A 15,220-nucleotide genomic window follows, 5' to 3' on the forward strand; every position below is an offset into this window, starting at 1 on the left:
TGACCTTTTGTTTAAAACATTTGCTGATTCTTTTTGTTTTGCTTTTCAGGGTCAAGAAAACTTTCTGTTCTTTTTCTTTTTTTTGAGACAGAGTCACTCTGTCACCCAGGCTGGAGTGCAGTGGCATGATCTTGGTTCACTGCAACCTCTACCTCCTGGGTTCAAGCAATTCTGGTACCTCAGCCTCCCAAGTAGCTGGGACTACAGGCACCCACTACCATGCCTGGCTAATTTTTTGTATTTTTAGTAGAGATGAGATTTCACCATGTTGGCCAGGCTGGTCTTGAACTCCTGACTTCAGGTGATCTGCCTGCCTTGGCCTCTCAAAGTGCTGAGATTATAGGCATAAGCCACCACGCCTGGTCAACTTTCTGTTCTTTTAAGCTATTTACAGCTTTTAATAATTGAGTAAAGTGTACTCTAGAGAGAAAAATTTAAGACATAATTCCTTTCTCTCTACCTAATTTCTCCAAAATTTGGAAGCTATTTGTGAGTATTCTTAATGTGTGGCAATATGGTTATTTGCATAAGTTCAATAAGAACCTGTTTCCTTTTATAACAGGGCATAATTGGAGACACTAGTTATTTTACTAAGGCTTTGACTGGAATAACATTTTCAGATTTCCTTGAAAAAAATGAGTGTGACCTATAGAGCCGATAAAAGCCCCTTGGAAAAACTGGCCTCATACTTTGTCCTTTACAGGGTCCTGACCTGTGGTAAGTATAGAATGCCACTTTCTGACAGGCCCAGGGACCCCAAGTTTTCTTGGGACCTTGAAAGAGGGGAATTCACCCAATTCATAAAGGTATCTGCAGACACAGATAAATTCTTGGCTAGGTTTGAGGCTTTTAAAAGGTCTAATCTTAGATTCCTTATGGAAAAGATTCTAGCAAAGCCAATTTTTTTAAAGAGAGCCTATAATAGCAAATGATTATTCTCACTTATTATTTGATTATGCAAATAATCAAGCCGAGAATAATAGGACTAAAACTTGTTTTACAAATAAATTGGTCCTACTATTTTGTCTTGAATACAATTGAGGAACTGGAGAGAGAAAAATTATGTTTCAAAATAAACTATCGTACATCTGTTATTAGATTCTAGACTTGCCTAATGTTTTTCAATTTGTGTTATTTTCTACAATTTGGGCTGAATTCTAAAATTTTTCTTGGCTACAAGTCTCCAAAATAATGTTTTCAAATTTTTTCCTTCTTTTCCTTTTTTAATTCATTTTTCCTAATTTGAAATCACTAAAAATTAAGCTGTGCTTTTCTTAAAGCCCTGCAAACTGAAGCTAGACAACTGAAACTTTGGAAGAAATAACAGCAACCTATTTATATATAGAAACCACTTTCATACCTGCCTACCCATGTATGGACTTCAGAGTAATATGGCCTGTGTGGTTTTCCAGGAATGTTTTCACATTTTTTTTGTGTGTTGTTTTCATTCTCTCTTCCTCCCCTTATTTTTTCTTTGTGGGATGTGAGACTTCACAACCTGTTAAAAATGATTACTCCTAACAATGTGGGCTATATCTGTCTAGGATAAACCATCCTAGCCAAGTGAGATCAAACAAAACTCAAGACCGGAGACTAATTTCCTTCTAAAATGTTTTCTCCAAAGATGTTTTAAAAGATAAGGGGAGAGAAACAAGAAAGGAAAATAAAATCTCCAATTCACTATGCCAAAAGGAAAAAGTTAAGCTGAAAGCTGAGTCGTGCAAGAAATGGCCTTTCCTTTTGTTCCTAAGCCAATAGCTACAAATAAAAGGTTAAATACCTCCACAGGTAGCTACTCTATGTTCACCTTATCTTATGGAAAGTGCCGATTTACTGAGTATGAGATTAATACGTAATTGACTATTCCTCTATTTGCTCCTTTTGTCTTGCAACCTGTGGATTCAGTAATGCCACCATACCTTCCTTCTTTCCCCTCCAGCCTGCTCTTCCCCTTTAAATACTGAAGCCCTCAAAATTATCTTTGGAGAAAGACACAGACCTCCATCCCAGACATGTCCTTAACCTTGGCAAAATAAACTTCCAAATTGATTGAGACCCATCTCAGGTATTTTTTGGTTTACAACATGTACTAAATATTCAAAGGTAGACTCTTCATAATAGTCTCAAAGTGGAAACTATCCAATAATCATAAACAGTAAAATGAATAAATTTTATTATATCCACAATGGATTATTTAACACAGCAATGAGAATAAATGATCCTTGACTACACTCTATAACATAAGTGAATCTCACAAAAGTAATCTGGGTGAAAGAAGCTAGGAAAAAGAGTACGTAGTATATGATTCCATTTTTATGTAGGATTAAAAGGGGCAAAACATGCTGTTAGAAGTTAAGAGTAGTGGTTACCCTTGGTCAGGAGTGGAAAGCTGTGACTGGCAGGGAAAATGAGGGGACTTCTGGGATGTAGGTAAATTTTTTTTTTTTTAAACAGAAAACAGTTTATTGAGTAGCGAAGCCAGATTACAGTGGGTTATAGAATTTAGAGGGTGGTAGAGAATTATATATGTGCAAATATTGTGTTGTCATCTAAGGCAAATCCGATATTTATTGGTTAAATTTATAGACTTTTCTTTCTCCCTGAACTACTCAAATGTAGTTATTTACTCCACTTCAGTGCTCAGTTCTGTGCTCTTTTCTAGATACTCACTGAGTGAGCTCATACATTCTCATGGTTTTAACTGCTTATATGCGAATGATTTCCAAATTGACATTGTCAGTCTTTTTTCCTCAAACTTCAAATTCTTACAGTCCATTGCATAGCACACAGATGCAGGTAATGTTTTGTTTCTTGATCTGAGTACTATTAAGTAGTTATAAGGATAGCTTTAGCTTGTGAAAATCCATCTAGCTATATACTTTTGATATGTACTCTTTTCTGTATGTATAGTATATACTTCAATAAAAGGCTATTTTTAAATGTATGTGATAGACCACAAGTCATATGCTATCATTGCTTCCATTTGCATTTCTTTGATTTTTACAGAGATGGAACATTTTTTCATATGTTTATTGGCACTTTGCACTGTTTTCTTTTTCACATTATTTATTTATGTTTTTACTAATTTTTATATGAGGATATTTGCCTTTTTATCTTTGACATAAAAGCCAAGAATATTAACTTTTTGTCATTTATGTTGCAAATATCTTTTCATTTGTCATTTTCCTGGCATAGAAAAGTGCTTAATTTATTTTTATGTAATCAATTCTATCAATCATTTCCTTCATAATTTCTTAGTTTTCGCTTATGCTTAAGTAACTCAAATGTCCTCAGACCTCTTTAGTTTGTGAGTACAAACACAATCACCGTAACACTTCCAGTTTTTTTATTTGTAGCTCCCACCTACTGAATTGGAGGACCTCAGTCTCTACCTTGTTTTTGCACACTCCCATGTCCCCCAAGTTATTTTTGGGACTCCCTGTGCTCCGCAGCCTCCTTGTTGAGAAGGGTATTTGTATCTCTCAAACTTCTGAGGGTGCCACTTCACCAGGCATGACCTCTGCTGCGTACCTTACTCTGGTACTGCCTCCTGATGTTCTTAGGGACTCACACCCTGGAGTGAAGGTAGATGCTCTTCAGTCCTAACCATGCTGCAGCCCTATGTGGTCCAGAAATGGGGAGAACGTCACTTGCTCCCTAAACAGCGTGCTGTATGATCATTAAGTCGATATATATAAATAGAAAATTACCTCTGTCATCGTGGTTTTCAAACTCATTAGCATCAAAATGTGTATCATTTTATAAGTTTTTTGTGTAAAGTGTTTTACCCAACAAACAGCTGGCTTTGGTTTTTCCATGATGGCTTTAGTGACTCATGAGCAGGCTTGCTAGTTTATAAACATAACTTTGTAAGTGGCAGGAAGGTAGAAACTGCTTAGACTCTTCTAAGAAGCCTGTATTCTTGAACATTTATTTACTTCATCTCTGAAATTAAGCTTACAGTGTCTACAATGAGTAATTAATATATCCATTTGTGCAAAGTAGTGTTGATAAGAATAACAGGCATTTCTGAGCATTTATTTAATAAAATAACTTTATGCTTTAAAAAAGTCTATATTGCAATCAAAGCTTTTAAAGTATTAAGGAGGCTAAAAATGGCAAATTGAGTACAAGAATCTTAAGAAACTGTAGATGAAATGCTATATGTAGGTTTAAAATATTAGTAAAAATGCATTAGTATTTTTATCAACTACTCTAAGATCTGCCATTTTATGTTATGCCAGTTTTTATATTTTCATCCATATTTAATTGTATGTTTTTGTGTTCTCAAGTCTTTTCCCTGATAAAACCGGTCAGAAGTTTGTCTACCTTATTAGCATTTTTTAAATTGACTTAGCAGTTCTTTGATTGACTTAGTAATTATGTTTTCTTCATTCAATGCACTGATTTCTGTTTTTGTTTAATCTTAATTCCTTTCCCTTTCATATGTTATTTATTTGTGATTTTCATGACTACTTGTGTTAAATCTTAGCTTAATTCATTTTTATCCTGTTTTTGCTTAGTAAGGTATTTAAAGCTATAAATTTGTCTCTGAACATTGGAATCAGCCATTAATTTTTAAAGTAGTGTACTTATTGTAATTATTTTTCCCTTAAGTGAAAACATGTTCACTATAAAAATGTAAACACACACACACATATATGGAGGATAAAAGTGATATTCTAATCTCTTTTTGCATTCCTTCTCCGTAATACTTCTTTCCTTATCCAGAGATACTGTTATTGCTTTGTCTATCCTCCCAGATCCATTTTTATGCATTTATCAATGTATGTGTATGTGTTCATTTACATTTATATACATTACACATGTATATACACATATATAGCTTACATATTATAAGTATTGTTCACATTATACAGGTAATTCTATAAATTGATTTCTTTTAATATGTCATAGATATATATTAATTTCCAGTTGCCCTCTAATAATATTTTACCAGTTTACACTAGCTGTAAGAGGTTTGCTTTCCAATATGCTATCCAATACTGCAGGGAATTGGTCTTTTCTAATTTTGGCAAAATTGATAGGTAACAAGGTATATTATTATTTTTATATTAATGTACACTTCTTTGATTACCAGTGAGATTAACGTAATTTAATTTGCCTATTAGCCACTAATATATCTTCTATAAATTGCTTTCCATAGTCTTTGCTCAGTTTTCTTTTCTTTTTTTTTTGAGACAGAGTTTTGCTCTTATTCCCCAGGCTGGAGTGCAGTGGCAAAATCTCGGCTCACTGCAACCTCCGCCTTCCAGTTTCAAACTATTCTCCTGCCTCAGCCTCCCAAGCCACTGGGATTACAGGCGCCTGCCACCACGCCCAGCTAATTTTTTTGTATTTTTAGTAAAGACAGGGTTTCACCATGTTGGTCAGGCTGGTCTCAAACTGCTGACCTCGTGATCCACCCACCTTGGCCTCCCAAACTGCTGGGATTACAGGCGTGAGCCACCACGCCTGGCCTTTGCTCAATTTTCTGTTAGGTTGTTTATCTTTTTCTGTTTTGTTTGACTAGCTCTCATTATTTTCTGAGTGGTTGATAAATAACATTTGATATCCCACTTGACCCAAGAATTATTGAGGAGAGTGGTTCTATATTTCCAAGCAGTTGGGGATATTTTTTTGTTTGAAATGTTGCTATTTCTTTTCAATTTTATTGCACTGAGGTTAGAAATGTAACCTGTATAGTAACTACTTTTTGGAATTTATTGAGGTTTACTTCGTGGTCTAATGTATAATCAATTAAAAAATATTTCCATGGATATTGATAGAAGGTGTATTTTCTTTTGTGAATTATGTAGTACACATCTACCAAATCAATCATATTTCTTATAAATGCAGAACCTTTACATTATCAGATTTTTTTTTCCTAAATACAAGATAGGTCAGTTAGTCTCCTGCTGTTATTTGGTTTTGTAACTGTATCCTTATATATTTAAACAGTTTTTGCTTACAATACATTACATTAAATAGCACAACTATTTTAAATGCATTACATTCAAAAGTACAGCTTTTTAATGTAATGTTATTTAGCACAAATATTTTATAACTACTGTATCTTCATTTGAAGTTGCATATTTATTGTAAAATACCCTGTTTATCTTCTATTTTTCTACCTTCATTTGTTTTTTTTGTTTGTTTGTTTATTCTTTTCTTTTGAGATGGAGTCCCACTCTGTCACCTAGGCTGGAGTGCAATGGCACGATGTCTGCTCACTGCAACCTCTGCCTCCTGGGTTCAAGTGAGTCTCCTGCCTCAGCCTCCTGAGTAGTTGGGATTATAGACACCCACCACCACGCCCAGCTAATTTTTGTATTTTTAGTAGAGACGGGGTTTCGTCATGTTGGTCAGGCTGGTCTCGATCTCCTGACCTCAGGTGATCCACCCGCCTCGGCCTCCCAAAGTACTGGGATTACAGGCATGAGCCACTGCACCGGGCCTGTTCTTTTTTTTTAAACTTTGATAGCTTTAATCATTTTGTTTTAGGCTTATCTCTTTTAAATAGCGTATGTTTTGTTGTTGTTGTTGTTGTTTTCTGAGACGGAGTTTCACTCTTGTTGCCCGGGCTGGAGTGCAATGGCGCAATCTCGGCTCACTGCAACCTCTGTCTACCAGGTTCAAGCGAGTCTCCTGCCTCAGCCTCTCGGGTAGCTGGGACTACAGGCATGTGCCACCAAGCCCGGCTAATTTTGTATTTTTAGTGGAGATGGGGTTTCATCATGTTGGTCAGGCTGATCTCCCAGCCTGACCTCAGGTGATCCGCCCACCTTGGCCTCCCAAAGTGCTGGGATTACAGGTGTAAGCCACTGCGCCCGGCCAACAGTGTATGATTTTTGGCGTATATTATTTCAATATAAGAATCTTTGTTTTTGTTTAAATAATGACTATGTGAGGTAATTCATATGTTAATTAGCTCAATTTGGCCATTTGACAGTGTATGCATATTTCAAAACATGTTGTACACCATAAATATATACAATACTTACTGGCCAATTTTAGAAAGAATCTTTACTTTTAAAATATAGGTGCTTAACTCGTAAATATTTGTTGTTATGTCTGCTGGGTTTGCTCTTACCTTTGCTATTTTTTTCTTATGGTTCCTTTGTTTTATTTAATTTACTTTTCTTTTGTTACATAGACTTGTTTCTTTGCTTTTTCCTTTCCAGGAATTTGGAACACAGAATATTTTATAAATTCTTCTTATTTTTCACATTTCAATATTTCTAGAATTAAAATACATCTTATAATTTAGGATATGCCATAGTTTAATTTGCAACAGTTTTTCTTTCTTAACGGTACAGAAAAAAGATGTTTCTCAAAAATGGTGTCACCCTTAGGTTAGATGACATACAGTATGTCCCATTTTTATTTGTCTTTACCTTATTTTTTTCAAAGGATTTGGAAAACATATTTTTCTAATTGAGTCAAAAACAAAATGACATTTTATTTAATTAATTTTTCTAGCTTTCTTAAGGTATAATTGACAAATAAAAATTGTATACATTCAAAGTGTACAATATGATGTTTTTATATATGTATATATTGTGAAATGATTATGACTATCAAGCTAATTAATATATTCTTCACCTCATATGGTTACCTTTCTTTTTATGTGTGTGGTGAGAACATTTAAGATCTACTCTATTAGCAAATTTCAGGTATACAATATTATTAACTATAGTTACCACACTGTGCATTCATTCTCCACAATTTATTCATTTTAATGGCTTATTTCATTAACATAATGTCCTCCAGGTTCATCCATGTTGTCACAAATGATAGGATTTCCTTCTTTATAATAAGCAAATAATATTCCATTGTGTGTGTATATACATACATACATAGCACATTTTCTTTATTCATTCATATGTTGGCAAACATTTAGGTTGTTACCATATCTTGGCTATTGTGAATAATGCTGCAGTGAACACTTGAGTGCAGATATTTCTCCGAGATGCTGATTTTATATCCTTCGGACATACACCCAGAAGAGAGATTGCTGAATCATATGGTAGTTCTATTTTAAATTTTTTGAGAAAGTTCTACACTATTTTCCATTATGGCTGTACCAATTATATTCCCAACAATAGTGAGAACAAATTTCCCTTTTTCCGCCCCCGACCATCATTTCTTTTTTTATTTGACATTTTTATTATTGATTTTTATTTTTTATAATTACTTTTTAATTGACAATAATTGTGTATATTTATGGGATACAATGTGATATTTTAATCTATATGTATGTTATGGAAAGATTCAGTCAACCTAATTAATATATCCATCACCTCACTGATTTATCATCTTTTTGTGGTGAGAATGTTAAAAAATCTATGTTAGCAATTTTGAAATATACAATACATTAATTGTATTGTCATCATGCAGTGCACTAGATCACTAAAACCTTTTCCTTAAGTCTAACTGAAACTTTATACCCTTTTATCAACATCTTTCCTATCCCCATCCCTTCTCCTCCTCGCTAAGCCCCTAGTAATCACCTTTCTACACTGGACAGATCATCTAGACAGCAAATCAATAAGAAAATATTGGACTTGAACTATATGTTAGACTAGACACTTGTTACCTTTTAACTTTTTGGATAATTGCCACCCTAATGGGTATGAGATTATATCTCATTGTGGTTTTAATTTTCATTTCTCTGATGATTAGTGATATTGAGCATCTTGTCATATAATTCTTGGCCATTTTATGTCTTCTTTGAAAAAATGTTTACTCAGGTCCTTTGCCCATTTGTAATCAGGTTATTTGTTATTTTCACTATTGAGTTGTATGAGTTCCTTACATATTTTTAACTGACCCCTTATTGAATATATGGTTTGCAAATATTTTTCCCATTCCATGTGTTGCCTTTTAATTTTGTTGATTTTTTTTCTTTTGTTGTGCAGAAACATTTTAGTTTCGAGTAGTTCAATGTGATCCATATAAAAACTGTAATTACATTTTTCACAAAAATAGAAAAAAAATCTAAAATTTGTATGAAATCGCAAAAGACCCCAAGTAGCTAAACCAATTTTAAGCAAAAAGAACAAAGATGGAGGAATCACACTTCCTAAATTAAAATTATATTACAAAGCTAGAGTAATCAAAACAGCATGGTACTGGCATAAAAACGGACACAGAGAACAGTGGAACATAGAAAGCCCAGAAATAAACCCATGCACATACGGTCAACTAATGTTTCACAAAGGCACCAGGAATACACAGTGGAGAAAAGATAGTCTCTTCAATAAGTGGTTTTGGGCAAACTAGATATCCACATGTTAAAAAAAATGAAATTGTATCATCAAACCATACACAAAAATCAACTCAAAATGAGTGAAAGCCTTAAATGTAAGGCCTGAAATTGTAAAACTCCTAGAAGAAAACAGGGGAAATGCTCCAAGACATTAGTCTTGACAATAATTTTTTTGGACATGACATTGAAAGCACAGGCAGCAAAGGCAAAAACAAACAGGTGGGACTAAGATGACATTTTAAATGTTTCCCTCCATTTAAAAATAAGAAACTTTTCAAAAGGCATTTACCACCTTCTTCTTTGATCCAATTACTTCTTAGTCTGAAGTCTTTATACCTCAATGGTTGCTATGGAAGTATTATTTTATATTATATATTTTGTCTTTTAAGAATGACTTTTGACTATTGCATATAGTTTTGCAACCAAATTCATAAGAATCATTTACATTAGTTTTTGGTTTAATAGGTTTGATGTTTCCTAATAGTCCTTTTGTTATACAACTTGCCTATTCTTGTCATACTCATTTTCTTTACTTCTCAATTGGATAGAGTTTATTTTCAACCAAATTTTTCAGAAGTGCATATATAGTGAATATAGCTTTTGAACCTTTGCATATGTGAGCTGACTTTCTGTTGCCTATGCATCCATATATAACAACTATGCATCATATAAAATAAAGATCATATTCTTTTTCCTTCAAATATGTCTTCTAGTATTTTACATTGCAGAAAAGGATTCTAAACCCAGCTTCGTTTTTGTTCTTTTTTCTTTTGTAATTTGTTTTTCATGTCTGGGTGTTTGTACAATTTCCTTTCCCCTTACAATGAAAAACAGAATGACCAAGATTGATATTTCTAGAGATGTAGTGAGCTCTCTATACCTGTAAATGTAGGGAATTAACTTTCATTGGGTGCCTCTTTAACATCCACTTCTTTCTCTCCTCTTCTTAAAATGACTCCACATGTCCTAGCTATTTGATTTGAGTAGATTATTGATATGAGACCTTTCTTCTTTTTAAAGATAAACATTTAATATTCTAAATTTTCATCTAAGAATTGCTTTAGCTGTACCCTACAAGTTTGATGTGTTAATTCAAAATATTTCCTTATTTCCATTGTGACTTCCTATTTGACTCATATTTAAAAGCTTACGAAAACATCTTATAGATATAACACGTTATTTTAAAGAGATGAAACCTTATCTTAGATCACAAAGAATAGAACAAAAAAAATGCAAAAACTAGCTCTACTCTTTAACTCCACCCACACACAGTTTGGCTTTATGTTTTCTCAATTTTCATATTTTTAGTTTGCCTATCTCTTAACAGGTTTCTATAGATTTATCATTTGGGGCCCATATTAGAGTTATTTGTGGATTGCACATCACAATTACAGAGTTAGAGAATTATGCGTATGTCCATGTACCAAATTTTACTAGTGGTTAGTGGTTCTTATACCTTAAATTTTCTTTCCTTTTTTTTTTTTTTTTTTTTTTGCATGTTAGTGTTTTTTTCTTTCAAATTGAAGAACTCCCTTTAGCATTTTTTCTAAGATGGGTCTGGTGGCGATAAATTTTTTCAGTTTTTGTTTGTTTGGGAAATAATTTATCTTTCCTTAATATTTGCAGATTAGCTTTGCTGGATGCAGTATTATTGGATGTTCTTTTTTTTTTCTTTCAGGACTTTGAAAATGTCAACCTACTCCCTCCTGACCTGTATGGTTTCCATTGAGAATACCAAATGAATTGGAGCTCCTTTAGGTTATTTGCTAATTTTCTCTTGCTGCTTTTAGGATCTTCTCTTTATCGTTGTCCTTTGAGAGTTTGATTATATCTTTTGAGGTAGTCTTATTTGGATCATACCAAAAATCAGTAGCATTTCTATATGCCAACAGTGAATAATCTGAAAAAAAAATAAAAGGGTAATCCCATTTATAATAACCATGAATAAAACTAAATACCTTGGAAATAAACTTAACCAAAGAAGTGAAAGATCTTTCTATAATGAAATCTATAAAAAACTGATGAAAGAAATTGAGGAGGACACCAAACATGGAAAAATATTCCATGTTCATGGATTAGAAGATTCAATATTGTTAAAATGTTCGTACTACCCAAAGCAATCTACAGATTCAATGTAATCCCTATCAAAATACCAATGTCATTCTTCACAGAAATGGAAAAAACAATCCTAAAATTTATGTAGAACCACAAAAGAACCAGAATAGCTAAAGCTGTCCTAAGCAAAAGGAACAAAACTGGAGGTATCACATTACCTGACTTCAAATTATACTACAGAACTATAGTAACCTAAACAACATGGTACTGGCATAACAAACACATAGACCAATGGAACAGAATAGAGAACCCAGAAACAAACCAAGACATCTAGAGTGAACTCATTTTCAACGAATGTGCCAAGAACCTACACTGGGGAAATACAGTCTCGTCAATAAATGGTACTGGGAAACCTGAATATACATATGTGGAAGAATGTAACTAGACCCTTATCTCTTTCCATATACAAAAATCAAATCAAAATGAATTAAAGATTTAAATATAAGACCTCATACTATGAAACAACTGTAAGAAAACATTGGAGAAACTCTCTAGGACATTTGTCTGGGCAACAATTTATCGAGTAATATCACATAAGAACAGGCAACCAAAGCAAAAATGGACAAATGGAATCACATAAATTTAAAAAGCTTCTGTGCAGCAAAGGAAACAACAAAGTGAAAAGATAACCCACAGAATAGGAGAAAATATTTGCAAACTACTCATCTGACAAGGTATTAATAACCAGAATATTTAAGGAACTCAAACAACTCTATAAGAAAAAACTAATAATCCAGTTAAAAATGGGCAGAAGATTTGAACAGACATTTCTCAAAAGAAGATACACAAATGACAAACAGGCATATGAAACAGTGCTCAACATCATTGATCATCACAGAAATGCAAATCAAAACTGCAATGAGATGTCATCTCACCCCAGTTAAAATAGCTTATATCCAAAAGATAGGCAACAGCAAATGCTGGCAAGGACGTGGAAAAAAGGAAACCCTCATACACCGTTGGTAGGAATGTAAATTAGTACAACCACTGTGGAAAACAGTTTGGAGGTTTCTCGAAAAACTGTAAATTGAGCTACCATACAGTTTAGCAATCCCATTCCTAGTATATACCCAAAGAAAGGAAATCAGGATATTGAAGAGGTATCTGCACCTCCATGTTTATTGCAGCCCTATTCACAATAGCCAAGATTTGGAAGCAACCTAAGTGTTCATCAAGAGATGAATAAATAAAGAAAATATGATACTTACACAGAATGGAGTACTATTCAGCCATAAAAAGAATGAGATCCTGTAATTTGCGACAACATGGATGGGACTGGAGGTCACTATGCTAAGTGAATTGAGCCAGGCACAGAAAGACAAACATCACATGTTCTCACTTATTTGTGGGAGCTATAAATCAAAGCAATTGAACTAATGGAGACAGAGAGTAGAATGATGGTTACCAGAGGCTGGGAAGGATAGTGGGTGAGTTGGGGAGGTGGGGATGGTTAATAGGTAACAAAAAAATTAGTTCAAAAGAATGAATAAGATCTAGTATTTGGTATCACAACAGGGTAAATATAGTCAATAATAATTTAGCTGTACATTTTAAAATAACTAAAAGAGTATAATTGGATTGTTTGTAATACAAAGGATAAATATTGAGGGATGGATATCATATTTCCCGTGATATGATTATTACGCATTGCATGCCTGTATCAAAACAGCTCATGTACCCCTTAAATAAATATACCTACTATGTACCCAGAAACATTAAAAATAAGAGGTTTTTTAAAAAATAAAAATAAATAACAGTCACATTACCGGGGCCCAAATGAATGAAATTTTCAAAATAGTATTTTCAAATCAAAATGCAAATAGGCTAATTTCCTAGATCCAAGTGCATGCATTTTTTTCTTCCTCTTTATTATACATCTGCTTTTTCTTAAATTTTAGCTTTTAAAGGTTCATTTGACTGTCAGGCTCTATTTTATTACAGGCTCTTATAAATGGTTTCCTCACTGTTCTAAGAACAGGTTATTTCTCCTGCATTATTCTCTGTGGGAACAGTTTCCTGCAGTTTGCTGAGAATTGCTGTTTAGTTGATGACATTTTCACTTCTGCCTGGGTCTTGCTTCACAGTACCAAGCTGAAAATTACCTCTCAACTTAAAGTCATCGGTTTAAGAATTTGATATTTCCAGAAAAACCATTCCCAATACCCACTCTCTCCTTCCTCTTTTCACCCAGGTCCCCTTTCTGCATTTCTACTTTGTGGATTAGAGCCTGACAGTTACAACAGACTTTGGAGTTTAAACTTTGTATCACAATTTGGTGTTCTTTTGATTACATGTTTAAGGTTCTTCTGCCTTTCCATAAAGCTAGGATTTTACACTCCCTCTCGGGAATACCCTTTTATTTTAGTCTTTGTTAAATGAGATTATACCAAAGTTATGTGCTTAATATAGCTGTTCATCAATATAATATGAATGTCAGGTAAAATCCTAAATGTAAGAAAATATAGCTTCAGTAACTATATCAGTCAAAATCTAGTCAAGAAAAAGAAATTCCACCAAGTAGTTTAATTGAAGGCATTTAATAGTGGTGATTAAATGGCAAAAGTGTTAGAAGAGCCTGAAGAGCAAATTAAAGAAGCACCCCTAGGGCTGAAGGCACTATGAAAAAGATAATGTTAACAGAACACAGGAGCCAAGGCCACCTCGAGGGGACAGAATCATGACAGGAGCCTCCCAGCAAAAGCTGGGGCCATGGAGGGACACAATCACCAATTATTGCGAGGGATACCACCTAAAGAAGGATTGGGGGATAGGCGGGAGATTGAGCTGGCAAGCATGAATGAGCATGGGAGAAATACATTGGTTTCCCCCTCTTTTATCTCTAGTCTTTTACCAGGGCCTCCCACTAATTGAATCTAACCAGAAGCCTGGGCAGTATAATTTGCACCCTTCAAACCACCATGATACAGAGCAAAGCAAGGGAAAAATGGGGAGTGGATTGGAAAAACAAATACACAGTAATGGTAATCACTTTGTTGAGCCTACTCCAGCCATAGAGGTTATTAGCAAAGGTGAAGAAGTGGGTGTTTGACAGATAAGAGATGTCTTGGGTAGGAGAGCTGCATTCTTTGTAGAATCAAGTACTTACATGCTGTTCACTATGGATGGGACAGGAAACAGAATGAACAACCCTTGCACTTAGAAAGCTAATAGCCTAGCAGGAGAGTCAGGCCATTAAAATCTATAATAAACTTATATATATATACACAAAATAATGTATATTATATATTACTTATATTAGACTACTATATAGGTATAGTAATGTATAATATAAAATATTTATTATGTATTTATAATAGATAAGGCACTATGGGAACATATAGTTGGGAGACCTAATCTCCTGGGACAATCAGAAGGTTTCCTGGAGGAAATAATTAAGAATGAGTGGGAGATGGAAGCAGAAAATGAAAAGTACAAGAAAGGGAGGAGATGAATTCAGACCAAGGAACAGCATGCACATTGTGGCTTGAAGTGGGAAGAGAGGAAATGCTGAGACAGAACAATGGCTGTGGGGAGAAGCAGGGGATGTTGCTGGAATTGGAACTGGGGAGGAAGGCTAGATGATGTCACAAAGGGCTTTGTGGGCTGTGTTGGAGTTTAGACCTTATGCTAAAGGAGATAGGATGTTGCTGAAAGGTTTGAACTAGGGAAATAACAATCAGATTTATGGTTTAGAAAGGTCGTTCCAGACTGGTGGTTGGGAGAGCAGGTAGGACATTATCTAGGTGAAAGAGGATGCTACCCTGGACCAGTATAGTGAATGAGGGTGAAGAAAAGTTCTAGAGATACTTGGAAGGTTGAAACAGCAATGCTTTA

Source organism: Homo sapiens, chromosome X (genome assembly GCF_000001405.40).
Source record: "Homo sapiens chromosome X, GRCh38.p14 Primary Assembly".
NCBI lineage: Eukaryota > Metazoa > Chordata > Mammalia > Primates > Hominidae > Homo > Homo sapiens.